At 35.1% G+C, this 21960-nt stretch overlaps 1 long non-coding RNA gene across 1 annotated transcript in view; it reads right to left on the minus strand.

Moving 5' to 3' along the window:
* The window catches only part of LOC105378339 (uncharacterized), a 145924-nt gene that overhangs the window by 59407 nt on the left and 64557 nt on the right, over nucleotides 1-21960 (minus strand). The window contains exon 4 of the long non-coding RNA XR_001747476.2: nucleotides 6361-11009. This is a non-coding gene — a long non-coding RNA (uncharacterized LOC105378339). The remainder of the gene's footprint in view (nucleotides 1-6360; nucleotides 11010-21960) is intronic.

The raw sequence follows: 21960 nt of genomic DNA on the forward strand, positions 1-21960 counted from the left end.
AATAATTAAACTGGAGTGGAGGGTAGGGAGATATATAAGAAAGAAAATGTAATAGTATGGTATATATATCAGCTGTGAATAACACCATAAGTTATTATGTATTTCATAATAATGGAAATATATAACACCAATTTGCAAATTGTGATATAAATAACATTGGGAAAATATTTAATGTGTGACTTTAATGTTGAGGGAGTGATTAAGAATGCTAAACCCTTATTTTCCTTATGAGGAAGTCAACAGATAACATGTGTAATTGAAAAATCAATACATTATATTATCATAAGTGTGTAATTTAGAAGTATAATGGCAAATATCTCCTAAAACAGAAATGTGTTTCTCTCTGTGGGTGAGAATGGGGCATTGGAGGGTGGTAGGTGGGGAGTGCTGCCTTTTAGTATAAGACTTACAGTACAAAGAGTCTCAAAAAAATAATTTTAAATGAAAGAAGAAAAAAATACATATAATTTTAAAAGTTGTCTAGTATTTTATGATAAACTCAGAAGAATATTTGGACAACGTGTGACTAAATTTAAAAAATAAGTTATATCAAAGATCAACTTGCTACTTGTCTGCATCTTAAATAAGACAGTGAGAAGACAAAGACTGTGAAAGAATAAGAACCAGGTTGCATTTGTGCATATGAATGTGATACCTCCAGCCCTTACTTTTGACAGCACATATGTAGCTAAAAATACAAGCATATATCTAAAGATGCTAAGATTTCTACTGCCATATGCATATGTAACATATTCACATCAAAGTTAATTGATGTGTTAGCATTCTAAAAATAAGGACCAGATTCTACAAAATTCATCTACCTTATGTGTTTCCCACTTCTAGGCTTTCAGGCCTCACTCAACCGTTTATTCATTTAAGTAATTCCTTCTCAGAGGAATACATTGTTTGGTTTGGCAATTAACACAGCAAATAGCTTAAACAGCATTTACTCAGAACATTTTAGCCTTGTACACAAGCCTCATAGAATAAAGGATTTCTGCTTCAAAAAATTAATACCACAAAGTGCTCCTTAAAAAGAGTAGTTCTATGACTAATAATGTTGAGAAACAACATATCTATTCCCTAATCTTGAATAGTGACCACAGTAGTCTTAACGCTGCCTTCAGTTTGCCTTTAGACAGGTTTCTTTCTTAGTACTGTTCTCTGACCTTCCTTTTATTAGAGCATTTACTTTAGATAACTTGCAATTATAAGTTCTTTCCCTGGCCTTCTGAGATGTAAATCTTCTCCCAGTCTCTTGTCAGTTTTATGAGCCAGGAATGTCTTCCTTGCCTATGAAATGTAATCATGAAGAAAGATAGAGCCTCTTTTGCTTCCAACAGATTCCAGTAAAACAAACAAACAACAAACAAAACAAAACAAAAATGATAGGACCTCTATCTCCTAGTCTCTGTAGAAGAGGAGAAGCCTAACTACAATAAACACCAATTAGCAAACACAGATTGTCCAAACACATTTACTGACTTCCCCCCAAAGTTTCCAGTACTTTTCCACCAGCATACTCCAGCGTTTAAAGACTCCTGCCTTTTCTTTCAACAGTTAAGTTCAATCTGTCTCCCCTATTTCAATAGTCTTGAATAAAGACTCCCTTGTCTGGTTAACTGCATCTGGTGCAATATTTCTTTGAAAATATTCACCAAGAATATTGTATATTAAATGTATTGATAAATACTGCAGAAAATAAATCCAATTGATGTTCTTTAAGTCATTGTTCCCAATCATCTCACAATGAGCACCTTACTTATTTATTAATAGAAATTCCACTGCACCAATCGTTCTCAAAGTGTGGTCCAAAGACCAGCAGCATCAGTGTCATCTAGGAACATGTTATAAATACAATTTGGGGGCCTCATCCAGACCCCTTGAATCAGAAATTTGAATAGTTTTCTTGTTGTTGTTTCTCAGGATAATACTAAAGATGCTCATGTTGTAGGTCAACTTTCATGTTTCTAATGGTCATTCCCAATTCCCATTCTCCGAGGATGGGGCCCAGCAACCTGTGGTTTAACAAGTCTACCAGGTGATTCAATGCATACACACTAAACCAATACTCTTCATCATATATAGGGAAATTCAATCCTAGGTAACAGCAATAAAGAAACAGGAAACCAGCTAAAAAAGAACATTACTAAATTTATTTATTTATATATTTGTTTAAATGGTTTAAATGAACACTCTTTTTGTGTTCTAAATTTTAATTGCAGTGCAACCTTATTTGCACCATACTTATGACTAAAGGCTTAATCTGAATTTTCTCTCTAGTCTTCCTTTTTGCCATGCACCCTTTTATCCTGTTCCATATAATACATAAATAAGTTTTTATACCCTAGTTGTTCAAAAACAAATATGATAGCTGGATGATCAAGTCTCTGGAGGTGAATTGTACCCATTATTGTCAGTGCTGGAAAGTCTCAAGTCGTCTTTGAGATCTTATGAAATATACAGAGCATTGGCTTATCACCTACTGCTTTCTCTCCTCTTTAAATCCCCAAGGAAACTGTTTAAAGCTATTTGAAAACACATATTTAAATTTCTTGGTGGACTTATATTATTGCTTATCTTTGCATATGAATGTCTATATATTTTTCCTTTAATAATAAATTTAATTAGTTTTTATGAATTCGGAATTACCAGTGTTTTGCAACTCCTTCCATTGGTTACCAATCATGGGAAACTCATGAAATTTGACCAGTTTTGTTGTCCTTTCTCAGGATAATACTAAAGATACTCAGGTTGTAGGTCAACTTTCATGTTTCTAACTGTCCAACAGTTTCTAATATATAATACAACATGTTTGTAATATATAACCATATATTATATATAAGGTTATACATAGATATATAATGTTATATATCTCATTGTAAATATATATAATATAGTATATATCATATATAAATAAACGTAAGCTTAGCATTAATTAATTTTGGTCTTTTTTTGCATTATGCCATCATGTGTCTGCTGGAATTCACAAATCTTCAAATTGGTTTTATTAGAACATATTCTTTTGCTATCAATTTGCTAAAACATAGCTGGGAACAATATCAGTAACTATCACTGAATGGAATGTGAAATCTTTATCCCATGGGAAAGCACTATTGGCTGAAATAGGCTCATCATTCCTATTTTCTGAGGAAAATAATGAGAAGAAATATATGTCAACCGCTTATGGGGTTTTCTGAATTCTTCTATTAGAAAATACTTAGTGAACAAATGAGCCACTCGTCAGAGATGGCTAAGGGTAAATTTTACAAAGCAGGGGATTGTCTACATGAGAGTGACTAGAATTCCTACTGGCCATGGACTGTGTTTTGAAGAAACGTCTTTGAAGTTAGAAGCTGAAGATGCTGTTTGCAAACATTAATATAGTTCAGATTTTGGTAAATAAATGATCTCTGGTTCTCTTTTTTTTTTCCCTTTGTATTTTGAAGATGTTTTATGTACTGTGTTTACAACTATGGGGACTTCACTTACATTAATGAATAGGTGAAACCAAATAATACTGACATCACTCTGACACTGATTGTCAGTGACTGTGCTGGCAAACACTTTTCTGACTTCTCTAAATTATCTATAATACCATTTGCTCTTCTATTGGTTACATAACTGCATGGAAGAAAAATCTTCTCAGTGTCTAATTGCACTAGTTTACTGTAAATTACTCTTATGAAAATATTCCCATGTATTTGCCTGTGCAACTATGCATGTAATTGCATTTTGGCAAGAGTGCAAAACTATATCCTTTTTGAAAATGCAACCTAAGGGGTGCTTCAAAGAACTATGATATTTTCAGCTTGACTCTTAGTTGAAATTTCTTCTGTACTCATAAAACCGACAAGTTGACAGCCTTGTCATCTGAGCTTTTCCAGCCACAAGACAGGTACAAAACAGATGCTTCTGGGTTTTTTTCTGACATTGAACCTTTGCGGACATGCCACATTTAACAATAAAGAGAAATTTCTTGTAAGCCCCTTAAGCATGCCCTGCTGTGGGCATGCTCATGTACCTCTCAAAGCCCATTAACCAAGTCATATGCAAATATATTCCAAAAAGCACTGTTTCTATTATAAAATGGATGTGAATTTGAGGTTTGGGGAAATAATGGAAGAAAACTGAGCTGAAAGATTGCTGTCTGCATCTACTTATCAATAACCTATCAAAATGTGGCAACCTGAGCAATCAACTCATTCATGAGTGAATGGCAGCTATCTAGAGTTTTAAGTCATAACTGTTGAAAAGGAAATTTTCTGAAAGAGATTTGGTAAATATATAGTCCCCTTGAGAGTGCTGAAAAATTGTTTTTATTACACTATCGTATTATAAATATGCCCTACAAGTTATTTCTCAGAATGTGAAGTGATTTTTTATGTGAATGGTTGGAGCTTTCTATGATCTTTGTTTTCCCAGATAGTCATTATTGAGGATTTTACAACTTTAGACAAAGTGATTTGGCAATCATACGTAGAAATAATAGTTAAAGGAGAAAAACTGTAAAATTCACGGTGTTTCTTTTTTCTGCCTTAAACTTGATTCTACTTTTTCACTCTTGACTTCTTCTTCAACAACCCCATACTAAATTGCCTTTTTAATATTTTCTGCTACAACATTCTAATCCAGTCAAATATTATAAACATAGCTTTATTCTAAATGTACCTCTCTATTTTTATCTTCTGCTTTATTTTGTTCTTTTATTTATTTTGTACTTTTTATTTTGACTTTATTTTGTACTTTTATTTTAGAAACCCTATTTACTGCATGAAATTTAACCACTGTTGTCCAGAGACAGCTTCCTCAGTGATCCTTACTGTATTCTCAGATTCTACTTGTATTGAATTGAATGCATGTCTTTCATTCTTACCTAACTGTTCATACATAAACTACTCAGGCCTTTTGGAAGGTGGTTCCGTGACTTAAGCTTCTTTACATTTTCTATTATGCATTGTACAAAGAGTAGGCATCCATATTTCTTAATAGAGTGTTTTAAAATAGGTTTAAAGGCAGTGCGATTTAATAGTTATGAGGGATTCTTCTGCCTAATTTAAAACTCATGAACACTAATTACTACTATTAAAGAGGGATTAAAACAAAGACTATATGTGCTGATGTTTAAGAAGCAAAGGAATTAGGGGAGAAATATATAGAACACCTGGTTTAACATGTAGGCATCACGGGTGGGTTTAAGGAGTTCTGGCAACAAGGGCAATGGTTATAAAATGAGATCGGTTTTAGAACCACAATAAGAATATTTTTGTTGTACGGTTATTTCCCCCAAACGTATATTTGAATATTGGGAAGAAGAACACTGGAGGTGGGAAGAGTAGACAGGTATATTCTAACAAATATGCCCCAGATGATTTAGAAATATCCATCATATATTTTCTCCCACACATTGAGAAACAATAAAATAAGAGTAGAGAGGCATATAAAGAAGAGATAAAAGACTCACTTACCCTTGAGACTACAAACATGATATTGGCAAAGTTTGTGCATATTTTCACCTTTATAATCCCTGGGCCTATCACAGTACATGTCGCACAGCAGTTGTGTAATAAATTTGTGTTGTCAAAAAGAAAGAAAAACAACACTAGTTCCACAGCATATTAATAGGTGTTACATACCTGCAAAGGGTTTTGTAGTCAGATGTATTTGGAAAGTACTGGATTAAAGGGAGCTTAACAAAATATTTCCTGAAGTCTTTAAAATATGCCTTGTGAGTTTTCAAGTGTAAGTGTACATTTTCCAGATTTACTTGACCAAAGGATTCTTTCCCTGTGTTTTTCCAGAGCCTCTAATGGAACTCTTATTCCATGAAATAAAATATTGGCAACACCAGATTAATTAAGTAGAATTAAATTGGATTTATCTTTTTCAAAATTCAAGCCAGTAGGTAATCTCTATTATGCTTTAACATTAGTTATCTAGAAGTCTATCTTTGTTATTTATCAGTTTTTAAAAAAATAATACATCTCTTAAGAAATATAACTACATACAAGATTTTCTGGTTATTCCATTGTTAGGGGGAAGTGTGACACCTACCCAGGCCTCTTACCCAACCATCACCTGCAGAAATAGAGATCTCTACAAAATTCTATTTCATGACCTGAAAGAATCAGGCTTTTAAATAACTTTGCTCCTGTAATAGAGCTTGGACTAGAATCTGGGTTTATTCCACTTTATCCCATGTAAGCAAAACTTAAATATGTTAATACTTATGAGACATTCCTATTGTGTCCGGAATTGGTGGGTTCTTGGTCTCACTGACTTCAAGAATGAAACCACGGACACTCACAGTGAGTATTACAGTTCTTAAAGGCGGCATGTCCGGAGTTTGTTCCTTCTTACCTTCAGATGTGTTCGGAGTTTCTTCCTTTTGGTGGGGTTCGCGGTCTCGCTGGCTCAGGAGTGAAGCTGCGGACCTTCGCGGTGAGTGTTACAGCTCTTAAGGTGGCGCGTCTGGAGTTGCTCCTTCCTCCCGGTGGGTTCGTGGTCTCGCTGGCTTCGGGAGTGAAGCTGCAGACCTTCGTGGTGAGTGTTATAGCTCATAAAGGCAGCGTGGACCCAAAAAGTGAGCAGCAGCAAGATTTATTGCATACAGCGAAAGAACAAAACTTCCATGGTGTGGAAGGGGACCGAGCGGGTTGCCACTGCTGGCTCCGGCAGCCTGATTTTATTCTTATCTGGCCCCACCCACATCCTGCTGATTGGTCCATTTTACAGAGAGCCCAGTGGTCTGTTTTGACAGGGTGCTGATTGGTGTGTTTACAATCCCTGAGCTAGACGCAAAGGTTCTCCACGTCCCCACTAGATTAGCTAGATAGTGTCCACACAAAGGTTCTCCAAGTCCCCACCAGATACAGAGTGTCCATTCGTGCATTCACAAACCCTGAGTTAGACACAGGGTGCTGATTGGTGTGTTTACAAACCTTGAGCTAGATACAGAGTGCCGATTGGCGTATTTACAATCCCCTAGCTAGACATAAAGGTTCTCCAAGTCCCCACCAGAGTCAGGAGCCCAGCTGACTTCACCCAGTGAATCCGGCACTAGGGCCACAGGTGGAGCTGCCTGCCAGTCCTGCGCCGTTTGCCCCGCACTCCTCAGCCCTTGGGTGGTCAATGGGACTGGGGGCCGGTGTGGAGCAGGGGGCAGCGCTTGTCTGGGAGGCTTGGACCGCACAGGAGCCTACGGATGGGGGGAGGCTCAGGCATGGCGGGCTGCAGGTCCTGAGCCCTGCCCCGCGGGAAGGCACCTAAGGCCCGGCAAGAAATTGAGTATAGCAGCTGCTGCCCCAGGTGCTAAGCCCCTCACTGCCCCGGGCCAGCGGGGCCCGGCCGGCTGCTCCGAGTCGGGGGCCCGCTGAGCCCATGCCCACCCGGAACTCGTGCTGGCCTGCAAGCACCACGCGCAGCCCCAGTTCCTGCTCGCCCCTCTCCCTCCACACCTCCCTGCAATCTGAAGGAGCCGGCTCTGGCCTTGGCCAGCCCAGAAAGGGGCTCCCACAGTGCAGCGGTGGGCTGAAGGGCTCCTCAAGCGTGGCCAGAGTGGGCGCCAAGGCCGAGGAGGCGCCAAGAGCAAGCAAGGGCGCACGCTGTCAACTAATTACAAAAGAAACAATCAATTTATATTGCCAAGTGTTAGATTAGCCTAAGTAGAATTATTACTTCTGGGTCTGCCTTCGGCTTGAATAACTTACTCCATTAAATTACTGAAACAGAAATCCTTTTGTTTACAACTGTCAAAGAGAGAAGAAAAATAGTGATAGAAATGTTAATGGCTTGAAAGAAATTTTAATGTTTTCTTATAGAAAAAAACATCATTTTGAAGTTCTAAAAGCATATTAAATATTTAAGTGTCAGAGTCTGTCAAAAGTCAAATTAATGATAGTTACCTCCAAAAGTGAGATATTCACTTTATACAACTTCTCAGTTTTTAAAAAAATCATTATGAATTCATAGATTATTAATGAAAAAATTTAAATCCACAAAAGTAAAGAGAATGGTGTTAAAACTGCACACTTTACCAATACCAATACACGTATAATCTTGTTTCACCCAACACATTTATATTCTCCTATCACTGAAGTATATTGTAGAAAATCCCAAGCATTATTTTATTTCAACCATACTTTAGTAAGTTACAGTTTTATGTAATGTATGAGTTACAATAAATGCAATCGTTATTGTCACTACCATATTATTTTTGTGTTGAGTTCAGCTTTAATGGAACCCTCCCCAAGCTGACTCCAGTGTTCTAAAATGGCTCATCTCTACTTTCTTCTGGGGCATACTATTTCCTCTCAGAATGACAATTCTGTGTTGCCCTTGCCTTTTTAAATTAAATTACTTTATTATTACATTTAGCAGAAATTCCTCTAAGTTTTTGGTAAATGAAAAGAAATTTACCACATTTATGAGAGGTTTGGGCTAAGGAATGGGTAAGAGCCTCTGCTTACATCTTATTCAAAATTTAGGTCCTGGTGGCTTAAAAATGGCTCAATTACAATTGTTCATTGTATTTTTTTAGATTATTTGAAATAAGCCAAGAAGTAGGCCAAATAATTCTAAATTCTTTTTGGAAGTAACTATCGTACAAAATCTTTAACCCATAAGTTGGTGATTTAATTATTTATTTTGTTCTTCCAGAAGGACCTATATCTCAAGGTAACCAAATAAGTATAACTAATAAGAAATAGTTTTTTGCTTTTTTTAACAAAAGAATCACATATAGTATAATACAATAAAATAATTTTTTAAAATCACTACTGCCCTTTATTATTAAATAAACTAAATAATCTATTCAAGCTAATACCATTATATGAAAAATTAACTTAGAAATGAATATTCACAGTCCACCAAAAAGTAAGCTGGTGTGATATAAAGCTTTGTAATGGAGGAATTAGACTGTAACTATCTAAACCTCAAAATTAATTTTATCTGAACCAATAGGAAATAAATGACACATGTATACTGATGCAATACAATATGAAATACTCAGCTTCATCTCTAAGTTATTCTTGCCTAATTTTTTAATCTGAATTTAGTCAAGTCCATAGATCTAAATTTCTTTTTATTACAAATGCAGGGAATAGAGTGGCATGTAAATACCACCAGGATACATTTGCTAAACCTAAAAGAGAATTGGTATTTTCCTCCCAACAAGTTCATAACTAAAATGTAAAGGAATGGGAATGGATTTTCTACATTAAAGATTTAAAAAACAATATCTAGCCCTGTTTCCAACAACTCGCTTTATAATTTTTTAAATCTATTTTTTATTTTTTTGAGACGGAGTCTCACTCTGTCGCCAGGCTGGAGTGCAGTGAGGCGATCTCAGCTCACTGCAACCTCCTCCTCCTGGGTTCAAGCAATTCTCCTGCCTCAGCCTTCCAAGTAGCGGGGATTACAGGTGCGCACCAACACATCTGGCTAATTTTTCGTATTTTTAGTAGAGATGGGGTTTCACCATGTTGGCGACCTCCTGACCTCAGGTGATCCACCTGCCTCGGCCTCCCAAAGTGCTGGGATTACAGGTGTGAGCCACCATGCCGGGCCCAACAACTCACTTTAGAAAGACACTTCAGAGACAATTAGGAGATTTAGAAAATTCAGGAATATGAACTGAGCATTAGATGATATTAAGGAACTATTGGAATTTGTGGGTGTGATAATCATACTGTGATTTGGGGGAAGAAATATCGATGAGTTGGTGATGCATACTAAAGTAGAATGACACTTCAAGACATGACACTTCAAGAAAAGTCATGAAGCAAAACTGACAAAAATTATAATTAGTGCTGGTACGTGATAGTTTAATTTCTTTTCTAACTATAAGTAAAGTTTAAATTTGCATAAAAAACAGGCTTCTAACAAGATGTTGCTTAAGATACCCTCTTACTTATAGTGGTTCTCATTCATGTCTGTTTATTAGTTCACTTGGGAAAGTTTAGAACTAACTGCACAGATTAATCATGGTAGCTGAGCATGGACCTTGAACATTAAAAATAAATCCTCAGATGATTCTAATGTGTATCAAGGGTAGAGGATGACATCTCTAGGATGTGAAAACTGATTTTCTTGATAGAGCGTAGTAAAGAGTAGGCTGAGAGATCATTCAGATAGTAGTCTCCTTTTTTAGCCTTCTCCCCCTACATGGGGCAGATAGCATTCAAGCACACAAGTTTATTTCAGATGCCATGTGACACATCAACCTCCAATTGTGTGTGCTGCTGGGGAAAGGGCCCCGATGAAGAGTGGAGGGTGGTATCTTCTATACTGCCTGATGTATCAGAAAAGCAAGGAGAGCCCTCAATTCTAACTACAAATTCACTTTCAGATCACAAACCAAGTCTTATGCAGTTGGGTATTCAAACTAATAAACTCTGACCAATTTGCTTTGTTTCTTCAAGGATGCAGACTTAACATGTAATTCAATTAGATTTCAATCTCTGTACTTAAGTTCTTGTGGAATTGCAATAGCTAAGTAACACAAGTTAGTAGAGGGGTAGAACACATAAAGAAATAATTTTCATAAAATGTATTAAGTCTTTAAATCATTCATGGGGCTTTCAGGAAGAAAGTGTTCTGTATGAATTCCATTATAAGGGATTGTATAATAGAGGCTTCACAACCACTGCAAGGCGAAAGGAGTGAGGGTCAAATAACTTGCTATTAATAATTTGAGCTCACAGTGTGAAAGACACTTCAGTTTGTCAGAAAAATTCAGCTGTTGCTATATTTATGGTTCGCCCCTGGGCTGCAGAGTAGAATCATCTCGGAGACGCAAGTGAGTGACTCTCAAGGGAAATCACTGGAAGGCACCACATAACTCTCAGGTTGCAGTACCTGCGTGTGTACTTCTCAAGAAGCACACCTAAAATCTACAGATCCCATACCTGCTCACAGATGTCTCCGCAACTGCTCCAGGAAATCATGTGCTATCTCTTCATTCCACTTTCCAAGCCTCAAGTGAGTTTTTCTCATTGACAAACTTTAACCTGGAAACATGGGAAGGACGTTCTGTGAATTGTTGTCCTTGGCTTCTTCTTTATCATAATAAAGGAATTGGGAACTTAAAAAGGGAGGATGAGGTGGTCACCAAATTAGCAACAGATAATTAAGTGCAAAGTACTAAAATGTGGATAATTCTTTGTGGGTCTGGTAGAAACACCTAAAATAAGTGGGCAAGTACATTAAGATTTCCTGAAACCACACTTTAAATAAATCTAGAAAGAAGAGCAGATGAAAAAAGGAGGAGGTTATTAAGGTAGAAATTTGACATGGGCAAAATAAAAGAAGCACTGCACTGGTTTATAAGAATCAGCAATTTATTTTTCATTTGTTTTTTGTAGTATTTTATCAAGGTGTTATTTTTATTTTAAGTGTTTATTCTGTATTTTATTAAGATTTTATAATTTTATATAATAAAATTCCTATAACTAAAATGTAATTTTTATAAATTTATATAAATAAACATTATCCAGTTCAACATACAGAATATTTTTCTTACCACGGGAAGTTGCCTTGTGCCCTAAAAAGTCAATCCACTCTTCCACAGAGGAAGCTGCCGTTCTAATTATTGTCATAGATAAGCTTTGTCTGGTCTTTGAATGCTTCCATGTGATATTAAATAGGATGTAATCTTTGTATGTGGGTTCACTCAACATAGTGTTTTCACATTCTGGTTATAGCTGTCTTGTTTTTTATTTCTGTGCCATATTCTATTGCATGACTTGCCAAAAACACAGATGGTTATTTAGGTTGTTTCAAATATGGGGCTATTACAATAAAGCTTCTGTGAATGTGGCTATGTATATATTCATTCATATTGGGTTATCTAAGACTGGAAATGTTGAATCATGAGACAGACAATATTTAATTTTTTAAAAACCAACAAAGAGATTTCCAGTGTGGTTGCACTATTTTATACTCTCATCACAAATGTAAATTTCCAATTTGACACAATTTTTACCCAAATTTGGTGTTGTCACAATTTTTTCATGTAATTTTAGCCATTCAAGTGGATGTAGAGTAATATTTCATTGTGCTTTCAATTTTAGTTCCTTGATAACTTTTGAAGTCATATGATTATTGACCATTCTGATATCTTCTCTGTAAAATGCTATTTTTAATGTATATATCTTTTTATTATGGATTTGTAGGAGTATGCGTAATATGTTTTAGCTATAAGACTCTTGTTAGATAAATTCTTTCAAAAAATTTTTTTCCAATCTGTGACTTATTATTTAAATGCCATGAATGCTGGTTCTTGATGAAGAGAAATTTGCAATTTTCATAAAGTTCACTTAAGCTTTTTAAATTTCTGTTTTCAGATTTTGTGTCCTAAGGATTCTTGTAAAGAACTCCATATCTTTTAAGAAAATTGGCTATATACCTAAAACTATTCTACTCCCCAAGTATCTCTGGCTCAAATAACTTCACCGACAAATTCTGTAAACTATTGAAGGAAATGTATCAATTCTACAGAAACTTTTCCATAAATTTGAAGTACAAGGAATTTTTTTTAAACTCATTCAATGAGGTTGGCATTAAAATGTTACCAAAACCTGATCAGACAGGAAAAAGAAAAGTTCAAAGTGATAACCCTTCATCAACATAGATGCAAAGATTGCAAACTGAATTTCAACAAAGACATCAAACAATAGATTAAAAAATACATCATGAACAACTGGGTATTTTCCAAGAAATAAAAAGTTGAATGTTAAAAATTGATCAATATAATTCAATTAACATGCTGAATTTAGTTTAACAAACTAAAAAAGAAAATCTATATAATTAACTCAGTAAATGCAGGAAACTTATTTGAATAGTGAGGATGTTCTCCAATTTTTTTTCTAGATGTATTTTTAACTTTCATATGTATACCTGTGATTCATACCAAATTAATTTGTGTGTTATGATTTAGTAGACAACAAAGTTTCTTCTATACAATATCTAGTGTTTCAAGCACATTTATTGAAAATATTTTCCTTTGTTTATTGAATTATCTTGATGTTTTTGACAGTATCAATTGACAATATATGTATGGGTTTTTTTCTTTTCTGTTACACCGATCATTTTGCCTGTCTTTATGCCAATATCCATTCTATTAATCATGATAACATTTTAATAAACTTTGAAATCAAGCAGTATTGGTTATCCTATTTGTTTCTCTACTTCATAATTCTTTGGGGCATTCAAATATCTTTACACTTCCATACAAATAATTTTTTTTTAATTTTGTTAATTTCTGTGACAAGTCTGAGGAATTTTGACAGGGATTGCATTAAATCTATAGATCAATTCTGGGACAACTGACTTCTAAGTAATTGAGTCTTCCAATCTGTGACATATCTCTTGATATTTGGGTGGTGTTTAATTACTTTTGTCAATATTTTATACTTTTTAATTTAAATATTTTGCATATTTTCATCAAATATATTGTTTATTCAATATTTTATTATAAATGATATTGTTTGTGTAAATTTAGTTTTCTGTTTGAGTTGCCAGTATGCAAATCAATTTATCTTTTCTATATTAACTTTTATTCAGTTGCCTTTTAAAATTTACTCATTAGTTTAATAGTTTGTTTTTATTTATGTTCCTTTGAATTTTCAGTGCACACAATGATGGCATTTGCAAATAAGGACAATTTTATAACTTTTTCCATTTTTAAAAATATTTATTATGCCATTGACCAGAACTTCCTGTGAAATAAAATAAATAGGTGTGAAAATTTTTATTTGTGTCTGATTTTGGGGTGAATATTCAATATTTCACAAATACATTTGATAGTAGATGGAGGCTTCTTTAGATATTCTATAGCATATTTTATTTTCCAAAGAAAGCTATAACAATATCTATTGTATTACATGCTTTCTAGAGTCAAATTCTGCCCTCTCCCCTACCCCGCCCCCACCACCAAATTTGGTCTGGGTCTGGGTTTGGTATTTGCTTGAACAGTAGAACGTGGTAGAAGTGATGTTTGGGGACATTAGAGATTGTGCAGCTTCTGCCTGAATTTCGTGGAGTGCCTACATTCCAGATACTTTCTCTCAGAACCCATCCACCATGGTGTAAGAAATCCAAGCTACATGGCTAGGCTGTGTAAAGGTACTACAATTGACAGCACCAACTGAGTTTTCAGTCAACAGCCAGAATTAACTGCCAGTCATGAAACATGGCCACTTTGAACATAATCGAGAGCCCTCAGATGACTAATAGCAACCACATAAAAGACATTAAGTTAAGAACTGTCTAGATGAGGCCATGAAAATAATATGAGATAACTAGGACATCAGCTTTAATAGACTTAGGCTACTCTTTAAATATTTACTTTGCTGCGAGTTTTTATTTTAAAAGAGAGATACATTTTACTAAATGTATTTTATTCATCCATTGATTTTTTAAATTTTATTCCTTTGTTAAGATAAAGAATTATATTGATTGACTTCAGGTCCTTTCTCTTTCCAGATGAATTTTAGAATCAACTTCTCAATTCTGAGAAAAATCCAACTTAAGTATGGTGATTTTATCAGATCTATAGACCAATTTAGAAAGAATTGGCTTCTCATCACAAGATTGAGTCTTCTGATACACAAAAGAAATACAGCTCTCCACTTATTGGCATGCTTAATTTTTTTTCAGCAACATTTTATTCTCTTCAATTTAGAAATCTTTCACAACTTTTGTTAGAATTATTTCTAAATATTTTCTGTTTTGATGGTACAGTAAATAGTATTTCTATGTCAATTTCTTGTTGTCATTGCTAGTAAATAAAATATAATTCATTTTATATTTTAATATTTTATTCTGCAAGGTAGTAAACTCATTTATTTGTTCTAGTATGAATATTTTATAGATTTTATCTAATTTCTTCATAGACTATAATGTCACTTGTGAATAAAGACTATTTTACTTGCTTCGCAATATGGATGTGTTCTATGCATTTTTCTTGTCTGATTGCTAGAGACTCTACTCAGTGTTGAACAGAAGTGAAAGAGTGAATATTCTTGTCTTGATCATGATCTTTTAGGAAAAACATTGAATTTTTCTTCAAGTATTATGTTAGTTATAGGTTTTACAAAACATCTACTATCAGACTGAGAAAGTGTCCTTCTATTTCTTGTTTGCTGAGGTGTTTTGTTGTTGCTGTTGTTTTGTTTCGTGGTTTTTTTCAAAATGGATGATGCATTTTTCAAATAAGTTTCCCGCATTTACTGAGTTAATTATATAGATTTTCTTTTTTAGTTTGGTAAACTAAATTCAACATGTTAATTGAATTATTACTAGCTAGAAATGTATAAATGCTATTTATTTTCCAAAATAGCCACCCTCAGGTTTTCAAAATTTTTTCTCTATTTTTTTCATGTTTTATGTTTAATTGATTTTAGTATGATCTATTTTATTTCTTTTGTTCCTACATAATTTGGTTTCATTTGCTCTCTTTCTGGTTTCTTAGGGTAGAAGCTAAATTATTTCTTGAGTTTTTTTTTTAATATAGATGTGTGGTGGTACAACTATTTTCCTCAGTACTATTCCAGTGGCAACTTCCAAATTCTCTTGTTATGTTTCAATTTTCATTAAGTTCAAAATGCTTTCTAATTTCTTTTTTTTTTTTTTTGTAATTTGACTGATGGCTATTTGGATATCCATTCATTCTCCAAAGGTATTTCTATGGTTTCTAATTTAATTCCATTGTTTTCAGAGAACATACTTTGTATATCATGGATCCTTTTAAATTTATTGAGGGTTTCTTTATGGCCCTGATTATGTTCTGTATACATGTAAGAAGAATCTGTATTCTGCTGTTGTTCAGGACAGAGGTAAGTTTAGAAATGTCAACAGGTAAATTAAGTAAAGTCTGTTAATAATGTCATTCATTTTTTATATCTTTATTGAGTTCCTTTCTACTTTTCTATCAGTTACTGAGAAAGGGCATTGAAATCTTTAACTATGATTGAGAATTTGTCTATTTCCTTTGCAGTTTGTCAATTTTTGTTTCATTTCTTTGGAAGTTCTGTTATTAGGTACATAAACATTTAGGATTCCTATGTCCTCTTACTGAATATGTCTATTTGCTTTATGAAATCACATTTATTTCTTACTGGTAATATTCTTTGCTCTAAAATCTACTTTGATTAGTATTAACAGCACATGGTATATCTTTTTCTATTATTTTACTTTAACTGATATGTATCTTTATACTTATAGTGATTTTTTTTTGTAAACACAACATAGTAGGGTCCTGCTATTTTATGTCATAGTATCTATCTTTTAACTGGGACACTTAGACTCTATACATTTAATGTGATTATTAATGTAGTTAGGTTTAAATTTATCATGTTGGTAATTACTTTACATTTTCCCCATCAGTCTCAGCCCCCTTTTTTCTCTTTTCATGGCCTGCTTTTGGGTTAATTATTTTTTAATGGTTCTGTTTTATTCTTTTTTTAATTTGCTACCTTTTCGGTTGATGTTTTTTAATGATTGTTTCAAGATTTATGGTTGTATCTTTTACTTAGTAGAGTCTACTTTGAAGTGATATTATAACATTTCATGTATGTTATGACAAACTTATAGGACTATACTTCAGTTCTTTTATTCATCCTTCCTGTCATGAATTTCATCTTTATATATACATAGACTCCACACTACATTTTTACTATATTTTAACAGCAAATTATCTTTAAAACTATTTAAGTAAGAAAAATTTTTATATATTCAATTGCCATTTCTGATGCTCTTAAGCTCCTTTGAGAAAATGCAGATTTGCATCTGATATCATTTTGTTTCTGCCTGAAGAGCTTTCTTTAATATTCCTTATAGTATAAATCTACTGGTGATGAATTCTTAAAGTTTTTGTAAGTTTAAAACGGTGTTCATTTTGCCCTCATTTATGAAGAAATTGTTTTACTAAGTATATAATTCTATATTTTAAAAGTTTCCAGCGGGATGCGGTAGCTCACGCCTGTAATCCCAGCACTTTGGGAGGCCGAAGTGGGCAGATCATGAGGTCAGGAGTTCGAGACCAGCCTGACCAACATGGTGAAACCCTGTCTCTACTAAAAATACAAAAATTAGCTGGGAGTGGTGGCACGCACCTGTAATCCCAGCTACTCAGGAGGCTGAGCCAGAAGAATCACTTTAACCCAGGAGGTGGAGATTGCAGTGAGCCGAGATTATGCCATTGCACTCCTGCCTGGGTGACAGAGTGAGACTCCATCTCACAAAAAAAAATGTTTCCTCCTAATGCTTCGAACATATTGCTCCACTGTTGTGTTTGCATTATTTTCAGTGATAAATCTGCAGTTATTTTTGATCTTTTTTCTTTTGCATGCAGTGTGTCCTTTTTTCTAGTATCTTTAATATTTGTTATCAATGGATTTGAGCCATTTTAATTTTGATGTCACAAAATATATAATAGTTCATGTATTTTGTGCTTGTGATTGTTAAACTGAATTGTCTCATATTTTACTTCATTTACAAGCTAACAAGTTTGCTTGCTACTGTTTTATGTAAGAAAATGTAACATAGCTAGGTCAGAGAAACAGACTACTCATTACTCATAACCAAAACAGTAGTCAGAACATCTTGAGCTGGTTCCCCAAGCTCCAAACCCCACAAAGCAATGTGATACAGGACACATACTACCTGCACATGAAGTGGGATGCACTAGAGAAAAACCCCAACATTTAGAAAACTCTCAAATTTTATAGTTCCCTTGTTGGCACAATATGTCTCCGGAGACATTACTCATCCCAGAATATGGGAAAGGCATGTGTATAAGTTTTCTTTTGTTGCATAATGAATTGCCACAACTTTAATGCTATATATTTATTCTTTCAAAGTTTCCATGGATCATATGTCTGGGCAAGTGGATTAGCTATGTCTTCTGCTTAAGGTTTTAGAAGCTGCAATCTGTGTTCTTATCTGGAGCTTGGGGTGCTATTTCAAGTTCATATAGTTGGGTACATTGGCTCACGCCTGTAATCCCAGCACTTTGGGAGATCAAGGTGGGTGGATCACTGGAGGTCAGGAGTTCGAGCCCAGCCTGACCAATATGGTGAAACCCCGTCTCTACTAAAAATCCAAAAAATTGGCTGAGTGTGGTGGTGGGCACCTGTAATTCAGCTACTAGGGAGGCTGAGGCAGGAGAATCACTTGAACCCTGGAGGCGGAGGTTGCAGTGAGCCAAGATCGCGGCATTGCACTCCAGCCGGGGTGACAAAGTGAGACTCCATCTCAAAAAAAAAAAAAAAAATTATATAAAAGGTTGGAAACATTTGGTTTCTTGAAGTTATGTAACTGTGACTCTCAGATCCTAGAGCCTTCATTCTCTTTTTCTTCTTTTTATGCATTTTTTGGGTTAATTTCTTTGTTAGTGATTTATTTATTACCTTTCTTGGCACTCCATAGGCAATTCACAGCATGGCAATTTGCTTCCTCAGGATCAGCAGAAGAGTGTGTCTACTACTTTAAGCCTCCTCCTTCAGGGAAAGCCTGGGTGCTGTGTTAAAAGGCTTGCCTAGTTATCTCATGCTCGCCCAGGACGATCTTCTTGTTGATTAATGTAAAGTCAACTGATTAGGGACATTAATTACACTGGAATTTCTTTCTTTTTTTTTTCTTTTTACCATTGCTATATGTGCAGTCTAATCATGGGGAGAGGGTTACACAAGATGTGCAAACCAGGGAGACAGAAACTCTGGAGTCATTTCAGCATTCTGATTACTGCAGAATCTCCCAGTTTAAGCAAATGTCTCTGGGGAGAGGAAAGAGAAGGATTTCTCTTTATTACTTTGGGAGGTTTCTGGGGAAGTACATCTCTAAATCTCTAGTTGTTTGCTAATCAAACATCCCCTTTGCTTAGAAGTCCCAGGCTATGTAATAAAACCATTGAGAATTGTCTCCCAACAGATCCACTCATCTTTTCTATATAGTTATGTTCCTTTGTGAATTTTCCCATGTACATACCACTTTTTTTTGGCAATTCTGATTTATTTAATTGACATTGCATGGGACCAAATGCATTTTGTTTGTCTCATACAGCATTTATTTAAGACTATTGTCAACAAGACTCTGAACAACAAAATGAAGTCTACATGCAATACTGATCTCAGTCATGCCCCCTACAGCTTCATATCTACTCTGAATAAATTCCATGAGCCAACAGAATCTAGCTTAGAAAACCAGGTAGATTTCTTTCTAAGTTCATGTGTTGACTTTCTCAACTGGACAGAGACATTAATCCACTTATAGCAGGATGCATCAGTGATTGCACAGACCCGACCTTGGCCTGCAAGGAGGAAGCCTGGTAAGTGCTATCATCTGTAACAAACCTAGCCAGTGAGGTAAAGATGATCTGAGTGCCTTTCAGGGTCCAGATGGTGCCACTGAGGATGTCAGCTACAGTCAGGGACAAATTTCATACCACTTTTTCTAACTAAGTCACTTCTGTAAGAAAAAGCATCAAATTGTAATGTTCCCAGCACAAAGAAAAGATAAATACTTTAGGTGATAGATATGCCAATTACCCTGATTTAATAATAACACATTGTATACATGTAAGAAAAATATTACATGCACCCCCAAAATATGGGGGTATGACTATATCAATAATAATATTTAAAAATACATGTAAATAATGAGTTATGTATCCTTCTGAAAAGCTTCCTGAATAACTACAGTTAGCATCATTTTGGAGAGATCTTTACAGCTTTCTGAAGACTACAAGGTCTACTGGTGGCATTTTCTTAAACACTTAAAGGTTTCTTATAACCATCCCCTATGGGGCAAGTCACCATGTTTTCATAAGGGAAGCAGGCCAATGTCAGGCCTTCCCACAAGAAGTATAATAACTGGGGTATACATGGTGTCTTTAGTATTTAGTTATTATTTATAATTATTGGGACCTATCTGGTGATACATATATCAGTTAGACTGCAAATTTATAGTGACTCCTAAGGAACCTCTCATGGGGCTTCCTGTGCATATGGTAAACCTTAGAGTTCCTCTTCTGTTGTCCATTTCCCTGCAAATTCAGGTAACATCTGGTCCACATCACATCACTCTGTGGGGATTTGCCCTTGTGGAACTAAAGTGAGATGCTGCTCGATCTGCTCTTTTGAATGTGTGTAATGAATGGTCTCTTTTTCTGACCCAGAGGTCTTGTGTATTCTGCCAGTATATGGACTCATTAGTGTGCAAATAAAATAAAATGTTAGCCCCTTCACAGTTTCTTACTTAACAAAAGTTTGTTGGGATTTAGGAAATTTGGGTAATTGTTTTCATCAAATTTGGAAATTTTTAAAACATTATTTCATCTATAGTTTTTTATGTCCCCTCCTCTCTTTTCTTCTGGGATTTCAATCGCATTTATATTCAGCCACTTCAACCTGTACCACAGCTCATTGATGTTATACTTGTTTAATCATCATCATTATTATTATCATTATCTTTTCCTTCTTTGTTTCATTCCTATTGCTATGTCTTTAAATTTATAAATCTCTTTTTTGAAATATCTAATCTGAAATAAATCTTATCCAATATATTGTTATAATTTTTATTGTTATGGTTTCTTTCTAATTTGTCTTGAGATCTCTCTGTCAAGAGTGACCATAAGCAAAGATAAAATTCTCTAGGAGAGCCCTCAGCAGAGGAAAAGTTAGGTTCAAATGTGCATGCCAATGAGACACAATGAGGAAGTAAAACTAAAATACATGACAGATGAAATTTATTTCTTACAGGTCTCAAGTAAATTAGGAGTTCTAAGGGGGAGGCTGACAGGAAGTCTGGAGGCAGCAGGGAGCTCAGTCAGTAGGTGGGGAGCAAGAGAGAGAGAAGAGAGAAAGAGGATCTGTGGGACTATGCCTTGAATGTAGCCCATGAGAGTTATCCCTTAGGCTTTTCTGCAGGGGCTATGGATTAGATGGTATAAAGAAAGCACATATAGGCTGGGTGTGGTGGCTCACACCTATAATCCCAGCATTTTGGGAGGTGGAGGCAGGTGGATCACTTGAGGCCAGAAGTTCAAGACCAGCTTGGCCAACACGGTGAAACCTCATCTCTACTAAAAATACAAAAAGTTAGCCAAGCATGGTAGTGGTACATGCCTGTAATTCCAGCTACTCAGGAGGCTAAGGCAGGAGAATTGCTTGAACTCAGGAGGCAGAGTTTGCAGTGATCCTAAATCCTGCCACTGCACTCCAGCCTGAGCAACAGAGAGAGACTCCATCTCCAAAAGAAAAAAAATAGAAAAGAAAACGCATATAAAGTAGGGAACTTATTTACATGACTCTAGTGTTGACCATTAGGTTTTATCGTGGTCAACAGCTGTGGTATGTGTTGGGTTTGGGGTCAATGAGCTAAGAAACAAGTGGGCTATATTGCAACCGCTACATGGAGAAGTTTTAACTAGACCAAAGGTAATGAGATATGACTAAGTTTCCAACAACTTATGTCAGGCCTAAAAATGAATACCAAAGCAACAATAAAAAACAAATTTTTAATACATATTTTCAATTCACACATTACTGTTTTCATATCTGCTGCTTGGATTTCTCATCTTTTAGAGTATAGAGAGTATATACAAATCTCTCATATTTCTGCATATCTTGCTAGCAGAGAAACTGTCTTTATGTTTTCAAGGATGGTTGTATAGCAAGCAACCTTAGAAAATAGAGACAGTATCTCCTCCTGGAACAAACAGCAGACTTGCTTATTATTAGTATAATAAATATAGTGGATTTTTTCCCCTAGGGAAAAAATGTTTTATTTGCATTCCATCATAAAAGATTTTAATCATCTAAACTAAGATTCCTCGGTTATGATGAAACCCACTGGAGGTATAACATTCATCTAGGTCCCTCTATGTGACCTCTGAACTTGAAGGCAAGAGGCCCAAATGCAAATATGAGTTCACGCTACTTTCTTTGCTACGAGTAATAA

Source organism: Homo sapiens, chromosome 10 (genome assembly GCF_000001405.40).
Source record: "Homo sapiens chromosome 10, GRCh38.p14 Primary Assembly".
NCBI classification, from domain to species: Eukaryota; Metazoa; Chordata; class Mammalia; order Primates; family Hominidae; genus Homo; species Homo sapiens.